This window comes from Homo sapiens, chromosome 8 (assembly GCF_000001405.40).
Source record: "Homo sapiens chromosome 8, GRCh38.p14 Primary Assembly".
In the NCBI taxonomy this organism is placed as follows: Eukaryota; Metazoa; Chordata; class Mammalia; order Primates; family Hominidae; genus Homo; species Homo sapiens.
This window is the reverse complement of record NC_000008.11, coordinates 39,176,039-39,202,102: the sequence shown is the minus strand read 5'-3', so window position 1 is coordinate 39,202,102 and position 26,064 is coordinate 39,176,039. Positions and strand designations below refer to the sequence as shown.

The following is a 26,064-nucleotide window of genomic DNA, read 5'->3' as shown; positions in this document are numbered from 1 at the left end:
ATACAACAAAAAAAGAGAATTTTAAACCAATATCCCTGATGAACATCAATGCAAAAATCCTCAATAAAATACTGGCAAACCAAATCCAGCAGCACATCAAAAAGCTTATCCACCATGATCAAGTGGGCTTCATCCCTGGGATGCAAGGCTGGTTCATCAATGCAAATCAATAAATGTAATCCAGCATATAAACAGAACCAAAGACAAAAACCACATGGTTATCTCAATAGATGCAGAAAAGGCCTTTGATAAAATTCAACAGCCCTTCATGCTAAAAACTCTCAATAAATTAAGTATTGATAGGATGTATCTCAAAATAATAAGAGCTATTTATGACAAACCCACAGCCAATATCATACTGAATGGGCAAAAACTGGAAGCATTCTCTTTGAAAACTGCCACAAGACAGGGATGCCCTCTCTTACCACTCGTATTCAACATACTGTTGGAAGTTCTGGCCAGGGCAATCAGGCAGGAGAAAGAAATAAAGGGTATTCAATTAGGAAAAGAGGAAGTCAAATTGTCCCTGTTTGCAGATGACGTGATTGTATATCTAGAAAACCCCAACGTCTCAGCCCAAAATCTCCTTAAGCGGATAAGCAACTTCAGCAAAGTCTCAGGATACAAAATCAATGTGCAAAAATCACAAGCATTCCTATATACCAATGATAGACAAACAGAGAGCCAAATCATGAGTGAACTCCCATTCACAATTGCTTCAAAGAGAATAAAATGCCTAGGAATCCAACTTACAGGGGATGTGAACTACATCCTCTTCAAGGAGAACTACAAACCACTGCTCAACGAACTAAAAGAGGACACAAACAAATGGAAGAACATTCCATGCTCATGGGTAGGAAGAATCAATATTGTGAAAATGGCCATACTGCCCAAGGTAATTTATACATTCAATGCCATCTCCATCAAGCTACCAATGACTTTCTTCACAGAAATGGAAAAAACTACTTTAAAGTTCATATGGAACCAAAAAAGAGCCCTCATTGCCAAGTCAATCTTAAGCCAAAAGAACAAAGCTGGAGGCATCACGCTACCTGACTTCAAACTATATTACAAGGCTACAGTAACCAAAACAGCATGATACTGGTACCAAAACAGAGATATAGACCAATGGAACAGAACAGAGCCTTCAGAAATAATACCACACATCTATAACCATCTGATCTTGGAAAAACCGGACAAAAACAAGAAATGGGGAAACGATTCCCTATTTAATAAATGGTGCTGGGAAAACTGGCTAGCCATATGTAGAAAGCTGAAACTGGATCCCTTCCTTACACCTTATACAAAAATTAATTCAAGATGGATTAAAGACTGAAATGTTAGACCTAAAACCATAAAAACCCTAGAAGAAAACCTAGGCAATACCATTCAGGACATAGGCATGTGCAAGGACTTCATGTCTAAAACACCAAAAGCAATGGCAACAAAAGCCAAAATTGACAAATGGGATCTAATTAAACTAAAGAGCTTCTGCACAACAAAAGAAACTACCATCAGAGTGAAGAGGCAACCTACAGAATGGGAGAAAATTTTTGCAATCTACTCATCTGACAAAGGGCTAATATCCAGAATCTACAAAGAACTCCAACAAATTTACAAGAAAGAAACAAACAACCCCATCAAAAAGTGGGCGAAGGAGATGAACAGACACTTCTTAAAAGAAGATATTTATGCGGCCAACAGACACATGAAAAAAATGCTCATCATCACTGGCTATCAGAGAAATGCAAATCAAAACCACAATGAGATACCATCTCACACCAGTTAGAATGGCAATCATTAAAAAGTCAGGAAATAACAGGTGCTGGAGAGGATGTGGAGAAATAGGAACATTTTTACACTGTTGGTGGGACTGTAAACTAGTTCAACCATTGTGGAAGACAGTGTGGCAATTCCTCAAGGACCTAGAACTAGAAATACCATTTGACCCAGCCATCCCATTACTGGGTATATACCCAAAGGATTATAAATCATGCTGCTATAAAGACACATGCACACATATGTTTATTGCAGCACTATTCACAATAGCAAAGACTTGGAACCAACCCAAATGTCCATCAGTGATAGAGTGGATTAAGAAAATGTGGCACATATACACCATGGAATACTATGCAGCCATAAAAAATGATGAGTTCATGTCCTTTGTAGGGACATGGATGAAGCTGGAAACCATCATTCTCAGCAAACTATCGCAAGGACAAAAAACCAAACACCGCATGTTCTCACTCATAGGTGGGAATTGAACAGTGAGAACACTTGGACACAGGAAGGGGACCATCACACACCGGTGCCTGTTGTGGGGTGGGGGGTGGTGGGGGGGATAGCATTAGGAGATATACCTAATGTAAATGATGAGTTAATGGGTGCAGCACACCAACATGGCACATGTATACATATGTAACAAACCTGCACATTGTTCACATGTACCCTAGAACTTAAGGTATAATTTTAAAAAGTTAAAAAAAAAGAAATCAGGAAAACAATTCATAATTTCAATGAGAAATTTAACAAAGAGATAGATATCATAAAAAAGAATCAAACAGAAACCTTGAAAGTGATTATTTCAATAAATAAAATTAAAAATACAAATGAGAGTTTCCATAGTAGACCAGATTAATCAGAAGAAAGAATTTCTGAACTTGAAGACAGAGCTTTTTAAATGACCTGATCAGACAAATTATATACATATATGACAGAAAGCCTACATGACACATGAAACAGCATACAGGAACAAAATATTCACATTTTGGGACTAGAAGGAGAAGAGACGTAAAGGCATAGATGACTTATGTAAGGAATAATAGCTGAAACTCTCCAAAGTTTTGCAAGAGATATAGACATCAAGATACAGGTAACTAAAGATCTTGAAATATGTTCAACCCAAAAAGGTCTTGTTCAAGGCACGTATAGTCAAACTACCAAAATTCAAAAACAAAGAGAGAATTCTAAAAGCAGAAAGAGAAAAATGTCAAGTCATGTATAAAGGACTACCCATGAGAATAAATGTAGATTTCTCAGCAGAAACCTTATAGGCCAGGAGAGAATGAAAGTATATATTCAAAGTACTGCAAGAAAACAACTATCAGCCAAGAATATTATCCACAGCAAAGCTATCCTTCAAAAATGAAAGAGAAATAGAATGTCTTTTTCAGACAAGAAAAAAACAAAGAATTTGTCACCACTAGACTAGTCCTATAAGAAATGCTTAAGAGAATCCTAAACCAGGAAGTAAAAGGAGAATAGCTACCATCCTGAAAACACATACAAGTGTACAACTCACTGGTGGAATAGATGAGAAAAGAAAAGGAGAAGAGAAAAGAAAAGGAGAAGAGAAAAAAAAAATGTTAAACGCTATCACAACCCAAATTATCTAATGTAAAGGTATACAATAAAACAGGAAGAAAGGCTGAGCATGATGGCTCACGCCTGTAATCCCAGCACTTTGAAAGGCCAAGGTGGGTGGATCACCTGAGGTCAGGAGTTCGAGACCAGCATAGCCAACATGGTGAAACCCCATCTCCACTAACAACACAAAAGTTAGCCAGGCATGGTGGTGCACACCTGTAGTCCCAGCTACTTGAGGGGCTGAGGCAGGAGAATCGTTTGAACCCGGGAGGCAGAGGTTGCAGTGAGCCAAGATCACACCACTTCACTCCAGCCTGAGTGACAAAGTGAGACCCTGCCTAAAAGAAAAAAAGAGGAAGAATGAAAGAAAGAATATATCAATCAGAAAACAATTGACAAATGACAGGAGTAAGTCCTAATTTATTAATAACAATATCAAATGTAAATGGCTTAAATTTCTAAATTAAAAAATATAGACTGGCTGAAAGGATTTAAAAATATATATGCTGCCTATAAAAACTCACATTGTAAAGACATGTAGACCAAAAGTGAAGGAATAGGAAAAAAAATTCTGCACAAACAGAAACCAAAAGCATGAAAGAGTAGCTATACTTATGTCAGAAAAAAAATAGATTATAGGATAAAACACATAAAAAAAACCAAGTCATTATATAATGATAAAGAGAACAAGTCAGCAAGAGTACATAAAAATTATAAATATATATGCACCAAACAATGGAGCACCCAGATATATAAAACAAATATTATTAGAAGTAAACAGAGAAATAGACCCCAATACAATAATAGTTGTTGACTCCAACACCCCTCTTGAAGCATTGGACAGATCATCTAGGCAGAACATCAACAAAGAAACATCAGATTTAATCTGCAGCACTATCAAGCAAATAAACCTAACAGATATATATGGAAGATTTCATCTAATAGCTGCAGTCTAAACATTCTTTTCATTAGTACATGGAACATTCTCCAGCATAGTCCACATGTTAGGCCACAAAAGAAGTCTCAATTAATTTTAAAACACTGAATACATATTAAGTACCTTCTTAGACCATATGAAATAAAAGTAAAAATCAATAATAATAGGAATTTTGAAAACTGTACAAATACATGAAAGGTAAACGAATGCTCCTGAATAACCATTGGGTCAATGAATAAATTAAGAAGGAAACAACAAATTTCTTGAAACAAATGAAAATGAAAACAAAATAATATCAAAACTAGTGACATACACAAAAGAAGTACTAAGACAGAATTTTATGATAATAAATGTCATCAAAAAAGTAGAAATATTTCAAATAACCTAATGATGTACTTCAGGAACTAGAAAAGCAAGAAAAAACCAAACCCAAAATTAGTAGAAAAAAATAAAGACCAGAGCAGAAATAAATGAAATAGAACCTAAAAAATAAAAAGAACTAAAGAAGCAAAAATTAATTTTTGGAAAACGTAAACAAAATTGATACACAGATATCTAGACTAAACAAGAAAAAATGAGTAAAGACCCAATAAATTAAATAATGATAACGAGACATTACAACAGATACCACAAAAATACAAAAAATCATTAGAATCTATTGTGAACAACTCTATGCTGACAAATCGGAAAACCTAGAGGAAACAGATAAATTCCTGGACACATACAACCTGCCAAGATTGAACAAGGAAGAAATAGAAAACCTGAACAATCTAATAACAAGTAATGAGACTGAATCAATAATCAAAAGTCTCCCAACAAAGAAAGCCCATAACCACATGACTTTACTGCTAAATTCTATCAAACATATAAGGAAGAACTAACACCAGTTTTTCTCAAACTATTCCAAAACATCAAAGAAAAGGAAATTCTCACTAACTCAGTCTTGAGGGAGGCCAGCATTACCCTGATAGGAAAATCAGACAAGGACACAACAAAAAAAAAGAAAACTACAGGCCAATATCCCCAATGAACATAGACACAAAAATTCTCAACAACGTATTAGTAAACCTAATCCAACAACACATCAAGGAGATATATTATATAATGATCAAGTATGATTTATACCAAGATTGCAAGGATGGTTTAACATATATGAATTAGTAAATATGATACATCACATCAACAGAATGAAGGACAAAAACCGCAAAATCATTTCAATAGCCACAGAAAATGCATTTGACAAATTTCAACATGGCTTCATGATAAATACTATCAATAAGTTAGATATAGAAAAAATGTACCTCAGCATAATAGGGCCATATATAACAAACCCACAGCTAACACCCTACTGGACAGGAAAAAGCTTAAAGCCTTTCTCCCAATAACTGGCACAAGACAAGAATACCACTTTCACCACTTTTAACCAACATAGTACTGAAAATCCTAGCCAGAGGAATTAGAGAAGAGAAATAAAAGGCATCCAAACTGGAAATGTAGAAGTCAAATTTTCCCTCCTTGTAGGTGACATGCTCTTATATATAGAAAAATCAAAGATTCCACCAAAAAACTCTAAAAACTGATCAACAAATTCAGTAAAATTGCAGGATTCAAAATCAGCATACAAAAATTAGTAGCCTCTCTATTCTCCAGAAACAAACTAGCTGAATAATAAATCAAGAAAGCAATCTCATTTACAATAGCCATGAAAAATATAAAATACCTAGAAATAAACTGAACCAAGGAGGTAAAAGACTTCTACACAAAAACTACGAAACAGAGATATAAAAAAATTAAAGAGAACAAAAACATATGGAAAAACATCCACCCATGTGGAGTAGAGAAATTAATACTGTTATCATGATCATACCACCCAAAGCGATCTACAGATCCAACAAAATCCATAACAAAATACCAATAATATTCTTCACATAAGTAGAAAAAACAATCCTAAAATTAATATGGAACCACAAAAGATCCTTCAAAATATACTGTAAGTCTGTAGGAATAAATTCAGAACAGTATTGGTATAAAAACAGACAAACAGAGCAATGAAACAGAATAGAAAGCCAAGAAATAAACCCATCTATTTACAGCTAACTGATTTTCTTCATAGATACCAAGAACATATACGTGTGCTGGGAATAACTGGATATCCATATGCAGAAGAATGAAACTAGGGCCCTATCTCTAACCACATACAAAAATCAACTCAAAACGGATTAAGGACTTAAACATAAGGCCGGAAACTGTAAAACTGCTAGAAGAAAACAGAAATATTTCAGGACATTGTTCTAGGCAGATTTTATGGCTAAGACTTCAAAAGCACAGGCAACAAAAACAAAAATAGACTAATGGAACTCTATTAAACTAAAAAACTTACGTACAGCAAAAGAAACAATCAATGGAATGAAGAGACAATCTGTAGAATAAAAGAAAATATTTGCAAACTATTCATCCAATAGGTGGTTAATATCCAGAATATACAAGGATCTCAAAAACCTCAACGGCAAATAAAAAAATAATCGCATTTAAGGGGAGAGGTGGCAAGGTGGCCAATTAGACGCAGCCAGGAATAACATCTGCCACTGAGGGACTGGGACATTAGGAAGACTGGTGGGCTCCTAGCAGATCTTCAGAGAAGGCAATAAGAGCAGACAGAGGGAAGACACAGATGCTGGGCTGAAGGGGGAGGAAGCTGGGAACCTTACACAAGGCTACTATGCACTGAGACTTCTTCCTGGCCCCAAAACACTCCTGGGGAAAGGGTGAGTTTAACAGGCAAGAAGCAACCTGCTCTCACCACAGGCCCCTGGAATCCCAGCAGGAGGAGAGCCCCCAACCACCACAGATGCTTGAGTTGGCCAGGAGAGCTGCTTACAGAAGTGGCAGAGGCAGAACTCCAACCGGTGTAGAGCCCAGAGGTTTGGTGCAGGAGTGTCAGTAGTAGAGCATGACCAGCGTCACCCATCTGCCTAGGCTTAACTTCCTTCCGTACGAGACTTTAGCCCTAGGGGAACTGTCGTACCTGAAGTCTGCAAAGCAGTCTTGCCCATGAGATGGGGCCAGTCTGACCTGAGCACCCCTCTAACTGGTGGACTCTCCCACGGACCCAGCATGGCCATGACTGCTTGCAGCACAGCCTCAGTTGCCCAGGGAGGATACCTCCTAGGGACCTGCATCATAGCTCCTGCACTGGTGGACTGCATCTGACCAGCAGAGCAGCCCCCACAGACAAATATCAGCTTGCTTGTGCCCTCTCTTCACTGCAGCCTGTCTATGATGCTTTACCTATACACACTCACCCATGGCCACCACCTACAGTGCTTTGCTGGTGTGTGTGTCTGTGTGTGCAGGAGAACCTTGCCTCCCCTTCCCCGTCAGTTCAGGTGCACCCTGCCAAAACACTGCTGCCAGCATTGGTGTACCCCATACCATCCCTCTGCTGCACCACCATTGCCACTGGAGCATTGGAAGGCACAGAGCCCATGAGCCCCACCCTTGCACTGACACTGACATCAGCGTAAAACTAGGCATTAAAAACAGCAAACCCACCCCTTCACTGAGCAGCCACTGCTAACCACGCGAGTGTGCACAGAGGGCACACACTGTCCTGCACCCACCAGTGCCCCCATGCTAACACCACCACCAGCACAAATACATGAACAGTAGCTGTTGGGGGCTTCCCACCCCACCCTGAGCTATGCTGTCACCATCGCTGCTACAAACACTGGTATGGAAGCCAGCACCCCAGTACACACTAGCACCCTCCTGCAACTGACAAGCATGCACCCCACTGTGCCGCCACCGCCACTGCTGTTGGCACATGCAAATAAAGATGGATCCTGCTGCCACTGCCCTAGGAAGCACTTTGGCTGGCACCACCTATTGGAATGTTGTGGCCAGCAGTCTGGGAGCACCATGGCTCCTCCACAGAAGCAGGTTCCTAATCTCAAGGAGCCAGAGAACAAAGCTGGGGCATGATACTAGTCCCACAGAATTAAAGCATGCAGTCCAGGAATCCTGAGCCTAGCCTTGGCCCCCTAAAAATCTTCCAAAACAAAGCCAGTCGACTGAACCCACCTGATACCAAAATCAAACCCCCAAGGTCATCAAATATGATAAAAGAAAAAAAATTCAAAGGACAACCACATCACGGATTGAAGGAACACCAGCCCACAAAGATGAGAAAGAACCAGCGGAAGAACTCGGACAACTCAAAAAGCCAGAATGTCTTCTTTCCTCCAAACACCAAACTAGTACTCCAGCAAGGGTTATTAACCAAGGTGAGATGGCTGAAATGACAGAAACAGAATTCAGAATATAGATAGGAATGAAGATCATTGAGATTCAGGAGAACATTGAACCCAATTCAAGTAACCTAAGAATCACAATAAAATGATACAGGAGCTGACAGACAAAATAGTCAGGATAGAAAAGAACATAACCAACCTGATAGAGCTGACAAACACAGTATAAAAATTTCATAATGCAATTGCAACTATTAAGAGCAGAACAGACCAAGCCAAGGAAAGAATCTTGGAGCTTGAAGACTGGCTTTCTGAAATAAGACAGTAACACAAGAATAAAGAAAAAAGAATATAAAGGAAAGAACAAAACCTCCAGGAAATATGGGATTATGTGAAGAAACTAAGTCTACAACTCATTGGCAACCCTGAAAGATATGGGGAGAATGGAAGCAACTTGGAAAACATATTTCAGGATATCATCCTAGCTAGAGAGGCCAACATTCAAATTCAAGAAATCCAGAGAACCTCCACAATATGCTTCACAAGAAAATTATTCCCAAGACACATAGTCATCACATTCTCCAAGGTCAAAGTGAAAGAAAAAATGTTAAAGGCAGCCAGATAGAAAGGACAGGTCACCTACAAAGGGAAGCCCATCAGACTAACAGTGGACCTCTCAGCAGAAACCCCACAAGCCAGAAGAGACCAGAGGCCAATATTCAATGTTCTTAAAGAAAAGAAATTCCAACCAAGAATTTCATATTTGGCCAAACTAAGCTTCATAAGCGAAGGTGAAAAAAAGATCCTTTTCAGACAAGCAAATGCTGAGGGCATTAGTTACTATCAGATGTGCCTTACAAGAGCTCCTGAGAGAAGCACTAAATGTGGAAAGAAAAGACCGTTACCAGCCACTACAAAAACACACTGAAATACACAGAGCAATGACACTATAAAGCAACCACACAAACAAGTCTGCAAAATAACCAGCTAACAACATGATGGCAGGATCAAATTCACACATATTTATATTGACCCTTAATGTAAACAGGCTACATGCCCCAATTAAAAGGCATGGAGTGGTAAGCTAGAAAAAGAAATAAGACCCAATGATATGCTGTCTTCAAGAAAACCATCTCACATACAATGACATCCATAGGCTCAAAATAAAAGAATGGAGAAAAATCTACCAAGCAAATGGAGAACAGAAAAAAGCAGGTGTTGCAGTCCTAATTTCAGGCAAACAGACTTTAAACCGACAAAGATAAAAAAAGACAAAGAAGGGCATTACATAATGGTAAAGGTTAGAAATGACAAAGGGGATGTTACACTGACCCCACAGAAATGCAAATAACCATCACAGACTACTACAAACACCTCTATGCACACAAGCTAGGAAATCTAGAAGAAATGAATAAATTCTGGGACACATACAATCTCCTAAGACTGAACTAGCAAGAAATTAAATCCCTGAACGGACCAAAAACAAGTTCTGGAATTGATTCAATAATAAATAGCCAACTAACCAAAAGAGAAAACCCAAGACCAGACAGAGTCACAGCCAAATTCTACCAGATGTACAAAGAAGACCGGGTACCATTCCTGCTGACACTCCTTCTTTACATCATATACATAAATCAACTCAAGATTGATTAAAGACTTAAATGTAAAGCCCAAAATGTAAAAAACCTGGAAGACAGCCTAGGTAATAATCATTCTGTACATAGGAACTGGAAACATTTCATGATGAAGACTCCAAAAGCAATTACAACAAAAACAAAAACTGACAAATGAGATCTGATTAAAACTAAAGAGCTTCTGCACAGCAAAAGAAACTATCAACAGAGTAAACAAACAGCTTACAGAACAGGAGAAAATATTTTCAAACTATGTATCTGATAAAGGTCTAATATCCAGCATCTATAAGGAACCTAAACAAATTTACAAGAAAAAAACAACCCTATTAAAAAGTGGGCAAAGGACATGAATAGGCACTTTTTAAAAGAAGACATACATGCAGCAAACAAGCATATGAAAAAAAGCTCCATACCACTGATTATTTGAGAAATGCACATCAAAACTACAATGAGATACCGTCTCATACCAATCAGAATGGTTATTATTAAAAAGTCAAACAATAACAGATGCTGGTGAGGTTGTGGAGAAAAAGGAACACTTATACACTGTTGGTGGGAGTGTAAATTAGTTCAACCATTGTAGAAAACGTGTGTTGATTCCTCAAAAAGCTAAAAATAGAACGACCATTCAACCCAGCAATGTGACTACTGGATATATACCCAAAGGAATATAAATCGTTCTATCATAAAGACTCACGCATGTATATGTTCATTGCAGCACTATTCACAACAGCAAAGACATGAAGTTAACCTAAATGCTCATCAGTGGTAGACTAGATGAAGACAATGTGGTACACGCACACCACGGAATACTATGTAACCATAAAAAGAATGAGATCATGTTTTTTGCAGGACGATGGATGGAGCTGGAGGCCATTATCTTTAGCAAACTAACACAGGAACAGAAAACTAAATACCACATATTTGGGAGCTAAAGGATGAGAACACATAGACACATACAGAGGAACAATAGACACTGGGTCCTACTTGAGGGTGGAAGGTGGGAGGAGGGAGAGGATCAGAAAAAAACTATTGGGTACTAGGCTTAGTACATGGGTGGCAAAATAATCTGTACAACAAACCCCCATGACTCAAGTGTACCCATATAACAAACTGCACAGGTACCCCTGAACCTAAAATAAAAATTTAAAAACGCACACACAAGTAAATCTCACTTAAAAGTGGGCAAAGGATTTGAACAGACATTTCTCAAAGGAAGACATACAAATTGCCAAACTGCTCTCTTTTCTGACACGAAAAAATATTCAGCATCAGTAATCATTGGAAATTTTTAAATCAACACCGCCATGAGATATCATCTTGCCCCAGTTAGAATGGTTATTATCAAACAACATAAAAACTAACAAATACTGGTGATGATGTTGAGAAAAGGCAACTCATACGCTGTCAGTGGGAATGTAAATTCATACAGCCATGATAGGAAGTATTGTGGAGGTTTCTCAAAAAACTAGAACTAGAACTACAATACAAACTAGCAATCTTTGTACTTGGTATTTATCCAAAGTAAAGGAAATCAGTATATTAGAAAGATACCTGAACCTTCATGTTTATTGCAGCACTATTCACAATAGCCAAAACATGGAATAAACCTAAGTGTGAATCAGTGGATGAATGGATAAAGAAAATGTGGTATACATCACAATGGAATACTATTCAGCCATAGAAAAGAAGTAAACTTTTTCATTTGTAACAACATGAATGGAACAGAAGGTCATTATGTTAAGTGAAAAAAGCCAGGCACAGAAAGGTAAATATCACAATTCTCAATCATGTGCAGGACTTTAAAAGTTTAACTCATAAAGATATAGAGTAGACACTTTCGGAGGCCAAGGCAGGCGGATCACGAGGTCAGGAGATCGAGACCATCCTGGCTAACATGGTGAAATCTCGTCTCTACTAAAAATACAAAAACAAAATTAGCCAGGCGTGGTGGCTGGCGCCTATAGTTCCAGCTGCTCGGGAGGCTGAGGCAGGAGAATGGCGTGCACCCAGGAGGCAGAGCTTGCAGTGAGCCGAAGCTTGCAGTGAGCCGAGATCGCGCCACCGCACTCCAGCCTGGGCAACAGAGCGAGACTCCATCTCAAAAAAAAAAGATATAGAGTAGAATAATGCTTTCCAGAGACTGGGAAGAGTGGGTAGGGGAATGAAGAGAGGTTGGTTAATAAGTAGACACAGTTAGATAGAAAGAATAAGTTCTAGTGTTCAATAGCAAAGTAGGGTGACTGTAATTAATGGTAATTTATTGTATATTTCAAAATAGCTAGAAGAGGAGATTTGATGTTTTCAACACAAATAAATGATAAATGTTTGAGAGGACGGATATTCTAAATACCCTGATTTGATCATCACACACGTATACAGATATGAAAATATCACGTGTACCAAATAAATATGTACAATTATTATATATCAATAGAATTTTTTCAATAATAATAATACATTTAGACACAGTTTTACCCCAAAAAAAATGATATAATGGAAGGAGCGCTTAAGTATAAAAGTGAATTTTGAACAAATACATATGAATATTCTCTTGCTACTTAGTTTAAGCGAATGCCAATATATTAAGTCTTCTACATGAAGGAAGTGTAGACTAGAGAATGAAACAAGGCTTTGAAATTAGATAAACTTGTTGACTAATACCAACCCTATGACTTATGAGGCCTTAGGCAAAGTGATTAAATTATCTAAGTCTTAGTATTTTCATCTGCATAATAGGGATAATGCCTATCTACCTCATAGATAGGTGAGGCTGTGAGAATTAAGTATAATTAAATAAGTGAAGTGTCTAATTCAATTATCTGGCTTTTAATAGGTACACAGTAAATCACTGCTAGTATTACTGGCACCTGCTAAAGTGTGTACACTAATTAACTGTATATCTAGTAAATGTAGATCACTTCAGCTACTTATACTCCAGGGCTTTTTAATAAACACATTAAATTGAAATATGTAACTAATTACATGCTTTCTTTGAGAACTAACATAATGTGTGAGATGTACTGTGGATATGCAAAAGAGTTACACGTGTGCTATTATTAGATTTTGTAAAAATTAATATAATACTCTACTCATACACCAGAGATTTGTAAGAAATTGGAGATTATATATGAAAGCATTTTAAATATAAAGTACCACATGAACTTAAAGGTTTACTAATACAGGCTCAAAACCCAAGTCTGCCACAAACTAGCCATCTGACCATAAGTAATTATCCTTTTTATAACTTAGCCTCTCATCTGTAAAAATGGGAATAATAGGAACTGCCCTGTAGAGATATTGTGAGAATCAAGTAAGTTAATATATGTAAAGTGCTTGGAATGGTCTCTAGAACATAGTAAGTACAATGTAAATATTTGTTCATCTTATTATCATTAATCTTAGGCTCTGGGTGACCTACACAAAACATTGTCCTAGCATACTTGAGAATAGCTGGCCATATGAACAATGAGCCCAAAATAATTATTCTTATGTTGTTGTGATAGATGGATGGATAGATAGATAGATAGACAGACAGACAGACAGATAGATAGACAGATTCCATTTATCCATCTATATGGACATATGCATATCAATTATATATATACATATATGGATATGTGTGATTATGTGTGTTTGTGTGTGTATATGTACATATATACACACATTCCTTTCAGAGCTAATTTGTAATATAATTGCATGTGTATACACATATAAAATATGTTGAGTTTGAGCTATTTTTGTGGGTATATATGTTGAGTTTGAGTTGTTTTTAGAACATAAGAGTTAACCCTTAAAAGGTGCTTAGGAGTACCCATAAAAATAATATGTTTTCAAAATTTAATGTCTTATTTTCACTTTTGACCTTTGACCTTTTAACCTATGATAGGTTACCCACGTCATAGGCCATATTTGCAAACAGAAAAACTACAAAATGCTAATGACACCTGCTGTAGTTCTTGTCTGATATATCATCTGGGGAAGATTAATAAGTTTAGAAATCACTGTAGCTAATCAATCACATACTTATAGAATTCTACAGTTTAGAAAACCCTTTCCTATTTCATTTTTTCTTTTATTCTTACATCACCCTGTGAAATAAAAGAATAGGCATAATTATTCCCATTTAAAGATGAGAAAAGTAAACTTAGGCAAAGTCAAGTAATTTATCCAAAGTCACACAAACATATATATATATATATTTTGGTCTCCAACTAGGACTTCTTACTCTTTTGGATGTTAGGGGTTTTTTTCATAAAATCAAACAATTCTAAAAGCAAAACCAAAAACACCTTGTCTAAAACAAAGGCCACTTATTATGTTCTGCTGACATATTTTTAAAGATCCTGGCCGGGCGCGGTGGCTCACGCCTGTAATCCCAGCACTTTGGGAGGCCGAGGCGGGCGGATCATGAGGTCAGGAGATCGAGACCATCCTGGCTAACATGGTGAAACCCGGTCTCTACTAAAAATACAAAAAATAAGCTGGGCACGGTGGCGGGTGCCTGCAGTCCCAGCTACTCGGGAGGCCGAGGCAGGAGAATGGTGTGAACCCGGGAGGCAGAGCTTGCAGTGAGCCGAGACAGCGCCACTGCAGTCTGGCCTGGGCGAAAGAGCGAGACTCCATCTCAAAAAAAATCCATACTAAGTGCTTTCATATTCTTTTGCTAATATATCTTTCAGATTGGATTTGTTATCTTTGATTATCTTTAGTTTATACTTTATACTACTTTTACATTTAAAATTACATGTTTATACTTGGTGAATTTGGTCCATTGATAGCTAATTTGTGCTTTAAGTAAATACTAAATTTTCACACTCTGAATATTTAAAATGAAATAAACATAAGCAATAAATAAATTGTTAAAACTTACACAACTTCTGGATTCATTATACAGGTGGATTCTGAACATTGACATTTCTTTGGGTCGTCATATGATATTCCCAGACTGAGTGCCAGCATCTGGGTGACAATAACTGCAAATGCCTCCAGAGTTATCTCCTTGGGGTACTATAATAACAACAAAGAAAATTCTAAGGAAAGATAATTCTCTAAAGGGTGGTAAAAATAATTTTCTAATTATGAATATTTTATTATTTTATCAAATGCTAAAGAATTAGGGAGATATGGATCCTTGAACAGGTGAGAAGCTGAAGCTCTTCTTATGAAGTTTTACTGAGATAGAAGCACATTGAGTGTATGCCAAGCTTTGTGATAATTTAACAACTGAACACCTAACATAATTCTTAGGTAGTTAGTATCAATATATAAAAAAATTGTTTTGATAAAGAAAATCTACATTACACTGTTGGTTATATGGACCATAATCTTCAACTCATCTAACTTTTTACAAGAGCTCTAATACTCATTTTGGATAATCCGTATAATCTCCCCTAACCCCCAGCTCATGAAATGGCCACTAACCAAATTACCCAATTTAAGTGCTCACCCTGCTGCCTACTAGGAACTTCATTGACACAGTGACTGGTATGAAAAGAAGCCACAGAAAACAGATCCTTCAGATTGCACTATTGGATTAGGCTGTTTATATATTTAACACAGATAACCTCCTTGCGAAAAAGAAATGGGGCATTGGTAATTCATGGTATGCAATGACATCATGATTTCTCAAATTATCACCAAAGCTGGCATAGGATATGATGCAGGAGGAGGAAGATAAAGACATTTAATTGCTATGGTGACAATAGGGATAATAAAGATTTTGGAGTCAATTAATTTCTTATAACAGCCCTAAAGGATGCACATAATGAAGAACAGAAAGGGAACGCTGCAAATGAGCAATGGAAAATGCAAACGGAATCAGAAAGCCTCTGCAGCAGCAATGAAGTAACTCATCTGTAGTCATGGATTGACATGGCTGAGGACCAAGCTGGAACCTACCAGATTTGGTGGGAAAAGCATTAGAATCTGAAACTTGGGAGGCGAACAATTGGAATAACATCTCTTTACTTCCCTTGCCAGCAGAGGAAGCCCTCTCCAAACAATGAGAGAGCCCCTGCATTTAAAAAAAAAAAAAGTTTTAATGACGATAGCTGGAACATTAGTCTCACTACCCCACATTGCCTCTAGGTCCAAATCAAGAATTAATTATCAACATGGTCTTGAAGGAGAAGTATCAATGTACTGCTCTGGAAGGGGATAATTTATACTTTGAAAGGGATTGATCAGACAGTATGAAATAGAAGGCTGGACTGGAACAAATTTATTGTAATTCATGACTCACCTGGGATTTTGTATTTAATGTGCCAAGTAAAAGCAGGAGTCATGTTAACTGAAATTAGACTTAATGGGAGCCTACTGTCAGTAAGGTCAAAATACTAGAGCTTTCCTGGCATACTGTATGGTGAAAAAGTGCTGAGTTTCAGGAATATGGTAATATTGAATGAATCTACTGTGTGAAACCTGTTGGGAAACTACCCTTGATCAAACATTCAAAGAGAGCTGGGAGGATATTTCCTTCAAGACACTTGGAAATGCTTTGCTGAAAGACACACCAATATCGTCAAAAATCTCTGCTGTTTTTTTGTTTGTTTGTTTGTTTTTTGTTTTTTTTTTGTAGACTGGAGATGACAGTAGCATAGTGCAATGGATCTTGGTTCTCTGAAACCAGTTGGAATTTTTTTTTTTTTTTTGAGATGGAGTTTCACTCGTGTTGCCTAGGTTGGAGTGCAATGGCATGATCTTGGCTCACTGCAACCTCCACCTCCTGGGTTCAAGTGATTCTCCTGCCTCAGCCTCTCGAATAGCTGAGATTACAGGCACCCACCACTATGCCTGGCTAATTTTTGTATTTTTAGTACAGACTGGGTTTTGCCATGTTGCCCAGGCTGGTCTCGAACTCCTGACCCTCAAGTGATCCACCTGCCTCAGCCTCCCAAAGTGCTGGGATTAAAGGCATGAGCCACCACGCCCAGCCCCAACAGGAACATTGGGACCAGGAGTGTTACAGGCCATGCGGCACAGCTTAACTGAGACAAGGTGGGTGCAATTACCACCATAGGCTAAAGGGGCTTACAGATTATCAAAGCTGCTTTGACCTACAGGGATTATGATAATTATTTCAGGGACCCTAAAAATAAAATATATGAGCATCATACTGAAGATTTTCTTGACATTCTAGGTCTGGTGGCAAAAACTTAACATGAGTTGCTGTGATGCAGATTCCCAGAACTAAACCAATTCACAACCTCAGGGATTCACAACTAAGTCAGGAACCTGCCATACAGATGAAACTGACTATTCCCCCAAGCCTTCCACAGAGGGACCTGTAGCTATTCACTAGAATAACTGTGCACACAGGAAAAGAAAATAGCTAGGACTTCTGGGGCTTATTGGTTTCTGAGTCAGAACTAAAGTTACCCTGAAAAACTGAATACCACCTTAGTCTACTGGTCTAAGTGCAGGCTTATGGAGGTCAGGTAGTCAGAAGAAACTTGTTTCAAGTTCATCTAACAGTAAATCCAAAAGAACTTCAGATATGTCCTACTATTATTTTCCAAATCCCAGAATTATGGCTGGAATAGAAATACTAGCACATATTGTCTGCTGACCAATGGAGTGAGACATGTTATGATAGGGAGGGCCAAGAGGAAGTGCCTGGAACTGCTCCCAAGATGATAAATCAAGAGTAATATGGCATCCCTTGGGGAATTGCATACTACTTATATTAGTGTTGCCATTAAAGTTTGAAATTGTAGGAGTAATGATACATGTCACATAATCATTTAACTTGTTTGTTTGCCTGGTGCAAAAGCAAAAGATAGATAATGACTGTAAATTATCATCTGAAACCGATCTGCCTTTCTAAACAGCTCGAGCACTCTACCTGCCATCAACAGAAGCCAGTGATAAGCCTCCACCATAGCACTATGCCCCTGTTGGATTAGCCAGTAAACTGGAGATAGGTTTATTACAGTGGACTGCTCATTCATTGAAGGAGGAACGATTTGTCCTCGTGTATCCCAGGTATGGATTTTCCTTGCCTGTCTGCAGTGATTCTGAAGCACGACATTCCTGCGCTTAAAGAGTGTCTTCTACATCACCACACACTATTGTTTCTGACCAGGGTCACATTTTGTGGCCTAGTATTTATAGAAATGGGTTCATTACTACAAGATTTACTTATCACATGTCCTGTAACACAGAAGCAACTGGCTTAATACAAGACTGTAATGGCTGGCTAAAGATTCAGTTGTGGCACCAGCTAAGGAACAACATCCAGAGAGGTAGGAAGGATGTCACTAATGATTTTTTAAATATCCTAAAGCAGCAGCCAAAACTTGGTGCCATTTCCCCCATAGCCATTAGGCTTGAGTCTGAGAACAGAGTGAGTGATGATGAGGAAAGATGGGATGGGAATTGCTAGATAAGTTGCTGCATACTAGCTGGCAGAGGCTGTGGTGACTTACTATACTATATTGGGAATATACTATATTGGGAATAGCCCCAGGCTGGTGCGGCACTGCATGCAGAGTTACTCTGGGCCTAAGGTTTCTGGTATGGTAGGGGTGAATTAGAGGCAGACATTTAACTTCCCCACCATTCTGGGACCATTTGTGAGAGGCTCACTCCTGTCTCATCACACAGGAACCACTGGGAGTGCTGGTAGGGCTAAGCCATCTGGGTCAGTTGGAGATGAAAAATAGTGGTGGGGCTCACAGTGATCAGCACATGATTCTTTGGGGTTGCTCTTCATTCTGGCCAATGGAGGTGCCACGCCAGAAAGACTAGCCAACAGCATCATGCTGCAGGAAACACGATACAGATTCCAAACATACAAAAATACTGCCTAGCCAGGGAAGACAACCTACAATACTGCTCCATCAGAAACAATCACAGAACCCAGCCAGTATCCCCACCTGATGTTAGAGTCCAGCCAGTGGTCTCACTAGACCACGGAGCACAGCCAACTATACCATTTGACCTCAGAGTACGGGAAGCAACCAAGCCCAACTAGAGAACCCAACACCAAGGTCTGCCTGTCCACGGTTGTAACCAATGGCATCCAGAATCCCAGGTTACAGTAAAAGTAAAGGTCTGTTACCAGAAAAGAACACCTGCAAAAGCTAGAAGACGTGAACATCTCCTCAAATGCATAGGGACACAAGGATTACGAAAAATCAGGAAAATATGACATCACAGAAAGAAACTAATAAAGCTCCTGCAGTGTACCCAGAAGAAAGGATATTTATGAAATGACTGACAAAGAATTCAAAATAATCCTCTTCTGGGAGATGTTGGTCAAAGAATGGATATTTAAAGACAGAAAGGAAGAATACATTCAGGAGTTCTATTGTACCGCTTGGTAACTACAGTTAATGATGATAAATTGTATTCTTGAAAAATGCTAAGAGAGTGAATGTTAAGCATTCTCACCGTAAAAATGATAAGTATGTGAGGCAATGCATTTGTTAGCTAGATTTAACCATTTTATAATGTATACAGTCTTCAAAACATCATGTTGTGCATGGTAAAGGCAGACAATTTTATATGTCAATTTAAAAAATAAATGAATTTGAAATAAAAGAAAAAACAATCTTTCTCTACTCACATAGTCATGAATCTTTGTTCCTTTTTTTAATCTTCCAGAGCTTTACTGTTTAACTTGCACATATAGAGCTATAATCTATTTATATTCTGTCTTTCAAATAGCATCAAGTCAAAGTAGAGTTTCTTTTATCAAAAAGCCCATCTGCTAACCAGTGCACTACAGTGTCGCCTTTGTAAAAAATTTAGTGTATGCCTATACATTTTTTTGTTTCTGAACTCTCTGGTCTATTGGTCTATCACTGCACCTGTCTCTGTCTTAATTACTAAGTGTTTATAATGTCTTGATATAAACTATAATATGTCCCTCAACTTTGTCGTTCTTCAAAATTATTGTGGCTTTGTAAAAGTGTAAGTATAAAAATTGTGTTTTACACTTCCTTGAATTTATCTCCTCCCACAATTTTATCGTATGCCTTGCCTCAGCCACTCATTCTTATGTTTCACACTCTAGCCCTTGTCAACAGATCTTTATCAATAACTGCCACCCCTCCATCATCTTAGTAACTGCATCTCACAGACTGATCATCTGCATTTTTTCCTGATTACTCCTCTAGCACCTCCAACAATTCATGAACCAGCCAGCACATCTAACTCATGGTTCCAACCACATTTTCACTGTTCCTAACTTCCTTACTAACTTCTCTCTTTCACTCATCAGTTCAAATTCCTTTACATACACCCTGAATTTCCTTGCCATCTTTTCACTTCATAATGACTTGGCAAAAATATGATACATTAGTCTTCAAAATGCTGAGGTAGGAAGATGTTAGGACAAAGATTCTATACCTAGCCCAATTATCAATCAAATGTTAATGTGTCCGGAATTGGTGGGTTCTTGGTCTCACTGACTTCAAGAATGAAGCCGCGGAGCCTCGCAGTGAGTGTTACAGCTCTTAAGGTGGCGTGTCTGGAGTTTGTTCCTTCTGACGTTTGGATGTGTTCAGAGTTTCTTCCTTCTGGTGGGTTCGTGGTCTCGCTGGCTCAGGAGTGAAGCTGCAGACGTTCGCAGTGAGTGTTACAGTTCTTAAGACGGCACGTCTGGAGTTGTTCGTTCCTCCTGGTGGGCTCATGGGCTCGCTGGCTTCAGGAGAGAAGCTGCAGATCTTCGTGGTGAGTGTTACAGCTCATAAAAGCAGTGTGGACCCAAAGAGTGAGCAGTAGCAAGATTTATTGCAAAGAGTGAAAGAACAAAGCTTCCACAGTGTGGAAAAGGACCCAAGCGGGTTGCCACTGCTGGCTAGGGCAGCCTGCTTTTATTCTCTTATCTGGCCCCACCCACATCCTGCTGATTGGTAGAGCCAAGTGGCCTGTTTTGACAGGGTGCTGATTGGTGCGTTTACAATCCCTGAGCTAGATACAAAGGTTCTCCACCTCCCCATCAGATTAGTTAGACACAGAGTATGGACTCACAGGTTCTCCAAGGCCCCACCAGAGCAGCTAGATACAGAGTGTCGATTGGTGCACTCACAAACCCTGAGCTAGACAGAGGGTGCTGATTGGCGTGTTTACAAACCTTGAGCTAGATACAGAGTGCCAATTGGTGTATTTACAATCCCTGAGCTAGACATAAAGGTTCTCCAAGGCCCCACCAGAGCAGCTAGATACAGAGTGTCAATTGGTGCACTCACAAACCCTGAGCTAGACACAGGGTGCTGATTGGTGTGTTTACAAACCTTGAGCTAGATACAGAGTGCCAATTGGTGTATTTACAATCCCTGAGCTAGACATAAAGACTCTCCACCTCCCCACCAGACTCAGGAGCCCAGCTGGCTTCATCCAGTGGATCCCGCACCAGGGCTGCAGGTGGAGCTGCCTGCCAGTCCCGCGCCATGTGCTCGTACTCCTCAGCCCTCGGGTGGTCGATGGGACTGGGCGCCGTGGAGCAGGGGGCAGCGCTCGTCGGGGAGGCTCGGGCCGCAAAGGAGCCCACAGAGGCAGGGGAGGCTGAGGCGGGGGAGGCTTAGGCATGGCGGGCTGCAGTCCGGAGGCCTGCCCCATGGGAAGGCAGCTAAGGCCCGGCGAGAAATCGAGCACAGCACCCGTGGGCTGGCACTGCTGGGGGACCCAGTACACCCTCTGCAGCCGCTGGCCCAGGTGCTAAGCCCCTCACTGCCTGGGGTCGGCAGGGCCGGCCCGCTGCTCCGAGTGCGGGGCCCGCCAAGCCCACGCCCACCCGGAACTCCAGCTGGCCCGCAAGCGCTGCGCGCAGCCCCAGTTCCCACTCGCGCCTCTCCCTCCACACCTCCCTGCAAGCTGAGGGAGCCAGCTCTGGCCTTGGCCAGCCCAGAAAGGGGCTCCCACAGTGCAGCGGTGGGCCAAAGGGCTCCTCAAGTGCTGCCAAAGTGGGAGCCCAGGCAGAGGAGGCACCGAGAGCAAGCGAGGGCTCTGAGGACTGCCAGCAAGCTGTCACCTCTCATTAAGACAAAATAAAAGTGTTTTCATTGAAGCGGGTAGGACCAAGATGGCTGATTAGAGGCAGCTACAGTCCCCAGCTCTCATGGAAAGGAATGAAAACGGCAAGCAAATTCTACACTTTCAACTGAGGTATCCAGGTTCTTACACTGGGACTGACTAGGCAGACGGCTTGACCCACGGAGAGCAAGGAAAAGCAAGGTGGGGTGATGGCCCACCCAGGAGTGGCATGGAGCCAGGGAAGCCCACATCCCCAGCTAAGGGAAGTGATGAGTGATTGTGCAGCCCTACCTTGAAAACCGTGCTTTTCTCATGGCTCTTTGCAGCCCATGGATCAGGAGATCCCCTCATGAGCCCATGTCACCAGGGCCTTGGGTCCAAAGCACAGAGAGTGTGGAGCCTCAGGGAAGCAGCCATTTGGGCATACTATGGACACCCAGGAGTTTTGAATACCCTAGCCCCAGGAATTCCTGCCAGGCGGGAGATCCATTCATGCATTCCTGTAGGAAGGGGGCTGAATCCAGGGAGCCAAGCAGTGTTGTTCTGCAGGCCCGACTTCCACAGCACCTCTCAAGTTAAGACCCACTGGCTTGGAATTCGAGCCAGCCAGTAGCAGCAGGCTGGAGACTGACTGAGACGGACTAAGTTCCTTGGGGAAGGAGCGGCCACATCTCTGTGCTTCAAGTTGGCCATTCTAGCCTGCTGTCTCTGGAGACTCCAGGTAGTCCAGACCAGAACTCTGATCTCTCTCTGGGATGAAGCTTCCAGGGGGAAGGGATGGCCATAGTCTCTGTGGTTCAGCCGACTATGCCTTTCCAGCCTGCTGGCTCTAGAGAGTCTGGGTGGTCTCGATGAGGAGGGCTCCCCCAAACACAGCACATCTGCTCTGTGAAGGGACAGCCAGACTGCTTCTTTAAGCGGGTCCCTGATGATCCCATTCCTCCTGACTGGGTGAGACCTCCTACAGATATCACCTACAGGAGTATATGGGCTAGTATAAGGTCAGTGCCCTCCTGGGATGGAGCTCACAGAGGAAGAAGCAGGTTGCCATCTTTGCTGTTTCCTAGCCTTCACTGGTGATACCTCCAGGTGTGGGAGAGACTGAGGCAACTAGGGTCTGGAGTGAACCCCCAGCAAACTGCAGCAGCCCTATGAAAGAGTGGCCTGACTGTTAAAAGGAAAAACAAACAGAAAGCCACAACAATAACATCAAAATAACATCAACAAAAAAGGCCCCACAAAAACCCCATTCAAAGGTCAGCAACCTCAAAGATCAAAGGTAGATAGCCCACAAAGATGAGAAAAATCAATGCAAAAACACTGAAAACTTAAAAAGCCAGAATGTCTCTGCTCCTCCAAATGACCCCAATATCTCCCAGCAAGGGCACAGAACTGGGCTGAGGCAGAGATGGCTGAAATGACAGAAGTAGTCTTCAGAAGGTGGGTAATAAAAAACTTTGTTGAGCTAAAGGAGAATGTTCTAACCCAATGCAAAGAAGCTAACAATCATAATAAAACAATACAGGAGCAGTTAACCAGAATAGCCAGTTTATAAAGGATCATAACTGACCTGATGGAGGTGAAAAACACAACACAAGAAATTCACAATGCAATCACAAGTATCAATAGCAGAACAGACCAAGAGGAGGAAAAAATATCAGAGCTTGAAGACTGTCTTTCTGAAATAAGACATTCAGGCAAGAACAGAGAAAAAAGAAGGAAAAGGAATTAACAAAACCTCTGAGAAATACGGGATTATATTAAAAGACTGAACTTACAACTGATTAAGATACCTGAAAGAGATGGGGAGAACAGAACCAAGTTGGAAAACATACTTCAGGATGTCATCCAGAACTTCCTCAACCTAGCAAGACAGACCAACATTCAAATTCAGGAAACCCAGAGAACCCCAGTAAGATACTCCATGAGAAGTTCAGCCCCAAGACACCCAATCATCAGATTCTCCAAGGTCAAACTGAAAGTAAAAAAAAAAAAATGTTAAGGCAGTCAGATGGAAAGGCCAGGTCACCTACAAAAGGAAGCCCATCAGAATAACAGCAGACTTTTCAGTGGAACCTTGCAAGCCAGAAGAGATTGGGGGCCAATATTCAACATTCTTATAGAAAAGAATTTTCAACCCAGAATTTCATATTTAGCCAAACTAAGCTTCATAAACAAAAGAGAAATAAGATCCTTTTCAGACAAGCAAATGCTGAGGGAATACATCACCACCAGGCCTGCCTTACAAGAGCTCCTGAAGGAAGCATTAAATATGGAAATGAAAAACAATTATCAGCCACTACCAAAACACATTGAAGTACACAGATCAGTAACACTATGAAGCAACCACATAAAAAAGTCTGCAAAATAACCAGCTAGAATCATGATGACAGGATCAAATTCACACAGAACAACATTAATTTTAAATGTAAATCGGCTAAATGTAAATAGGCTAAATGCCCAAATTAAAAGACACAAATGACAAGATGAATAAAGAGTCAAAACCCACTGGTATACTGCCTTCAAGATACCCATCTCCCATGCAAAGACACATAGGCTCAAAATAAAGGGATGGCTGGGAGCAATCACTCAAGCCTGTAATCACTCAAGCACTTTGGGAGACCAAGGTGGGCAGGTCACTTGAGGTCAAGAGTTCAAGACCAGCCTGGCCAACATAGTGAAATCCTGTCTCTACTGAAAACACAAAAAATTAGCCAAGCATGGTGATGTGTGCCTGTAATCCCAGCTACTTGGGAGGCTGAGGCAAGAGAATCTCTTGAACCTGGGAGGCAGAGGTTGCAGTGAGCCGAAATCATGCCATGGCACTCCAGCCTGGGCAACAGAGTGAGACTCCTGTCTCCAAAAAAAAAAAAAAGGAGGAGATGAAGAAAAATTTACCAAGCAAATGAAAAACAGAAAAAAGTTGGAGTTGCAATCCTAGTTTCTTACAAAACAGACTTTAAACCAACAAAGATCAAAAAAGACAAAGAAGGGCATTACATAATGGTAAAGGGTTCAATTCAATAAGAAGAGCTAACTATCCTAAATACATAAGCACCCGATACAGGAGTACCCAGATTCATAAAGCAGGTTCTTAGAGACCTACAAAGAGACTTAGACTCCCACACAATAATAGTGGGAGACTTTAACACCCCACTGACAATATTAGACAAATCATTGAGACAGAAAATTAACAAAGATATACAGGACTTGAACTCAGCTCTGGATCAAGTGGACCTGATAGATATCTACAGAAATCTCCACCCAAAATCAAGAGAATATACATTCTTCTCATCGCCACACAGTACTTACTCTAAAATCAATCACATAATCAAAAGTAAAACACTCCTCAGCAAATGCAAAAGAACTGTAATCATAACAAACAGTCTCTCAAACCACAGCACAATCAAATTAGAACTCAAAATTCAGAAACTCACTTAAAACTGCACAACTACATAAGCATTGAACAACCTGCTCCCAAAGGACTCCTGGGTAAATAATGAAATTAAGCCAGATATCAAGAAGTTCTTTGAAACTAATGAGAACAAAGAGACAACGTACCGGAATCTATGGGATGCAGGTAAAGCCATGTTAAGAGAGAAATTCATAGGATTAAATGGCCACATCAAAAAGCTAGAAATATCTCAAATCAAAAACCTAACATGCCAACTAAAAGAACAAGAGAACCAAGAGTAACCGAACCCCAAAGCTAGCAGAAGACAAGAAATAACCAAGATCAGAGCAGAACTGAAGGAGATAGAGACACACAAAAAAACCTTCAAAAAATCAATGAATCCAGGAGCTGCTTTTTTGAAAAAATTAATATAATAGATAAACCACTAGCTAGACTAGTAAAGAAGAAAAGAGAGAAGAATCAAATAGATACAATCAGAAATGA

The 26,064-nt window shown here is 40.0% G+C and overlaps 1 protein-coding gene across 13 annotated transcripts in view, besides 1 other annotated feature; it reads right to left on the bottom strand.

Moving 5' to 3' along the window:
- ADAM32 (ADAM metallopeptidase domain 32) overlaps positions 1–26,064 on the bottom strand; it is a 177,389-nt gene that overhangs the window by 82,815 nt on the left and 68,510 nt on the right. For 9 of the 13 annotated variants that reach the window (NM_145004.7, XM_011544433.3, XM_006716298.4 and 6 more), the window contains one exon: positions 15,058–15,194. In NM_145004.7, the coding sequence (NP_659441.4) occupies positions 15,058–15,194 (137 nt within the window). 13 annotated transcript variants of the gene reach the window in all.
- Positions 20,186–21,385: an enhancer, noted in NCBI's record as "BRD4-independent group 4 enhancer chr8:39038237-39039436 (GRCh37/hg19 assembly coordinates)". NCBI's record gives its function as "activates an origin of replication core promoter dependent on BRD2, P300/CBP, MED14 and CDK7 cofactors, and independent of BRD4, by STARR-seq in HCT116 cells {active_cell/tissue: HCT116}" and the evidence as "EXISTENCE:reporter gene assay evidence [ECO:0000049][PMID:35650434]".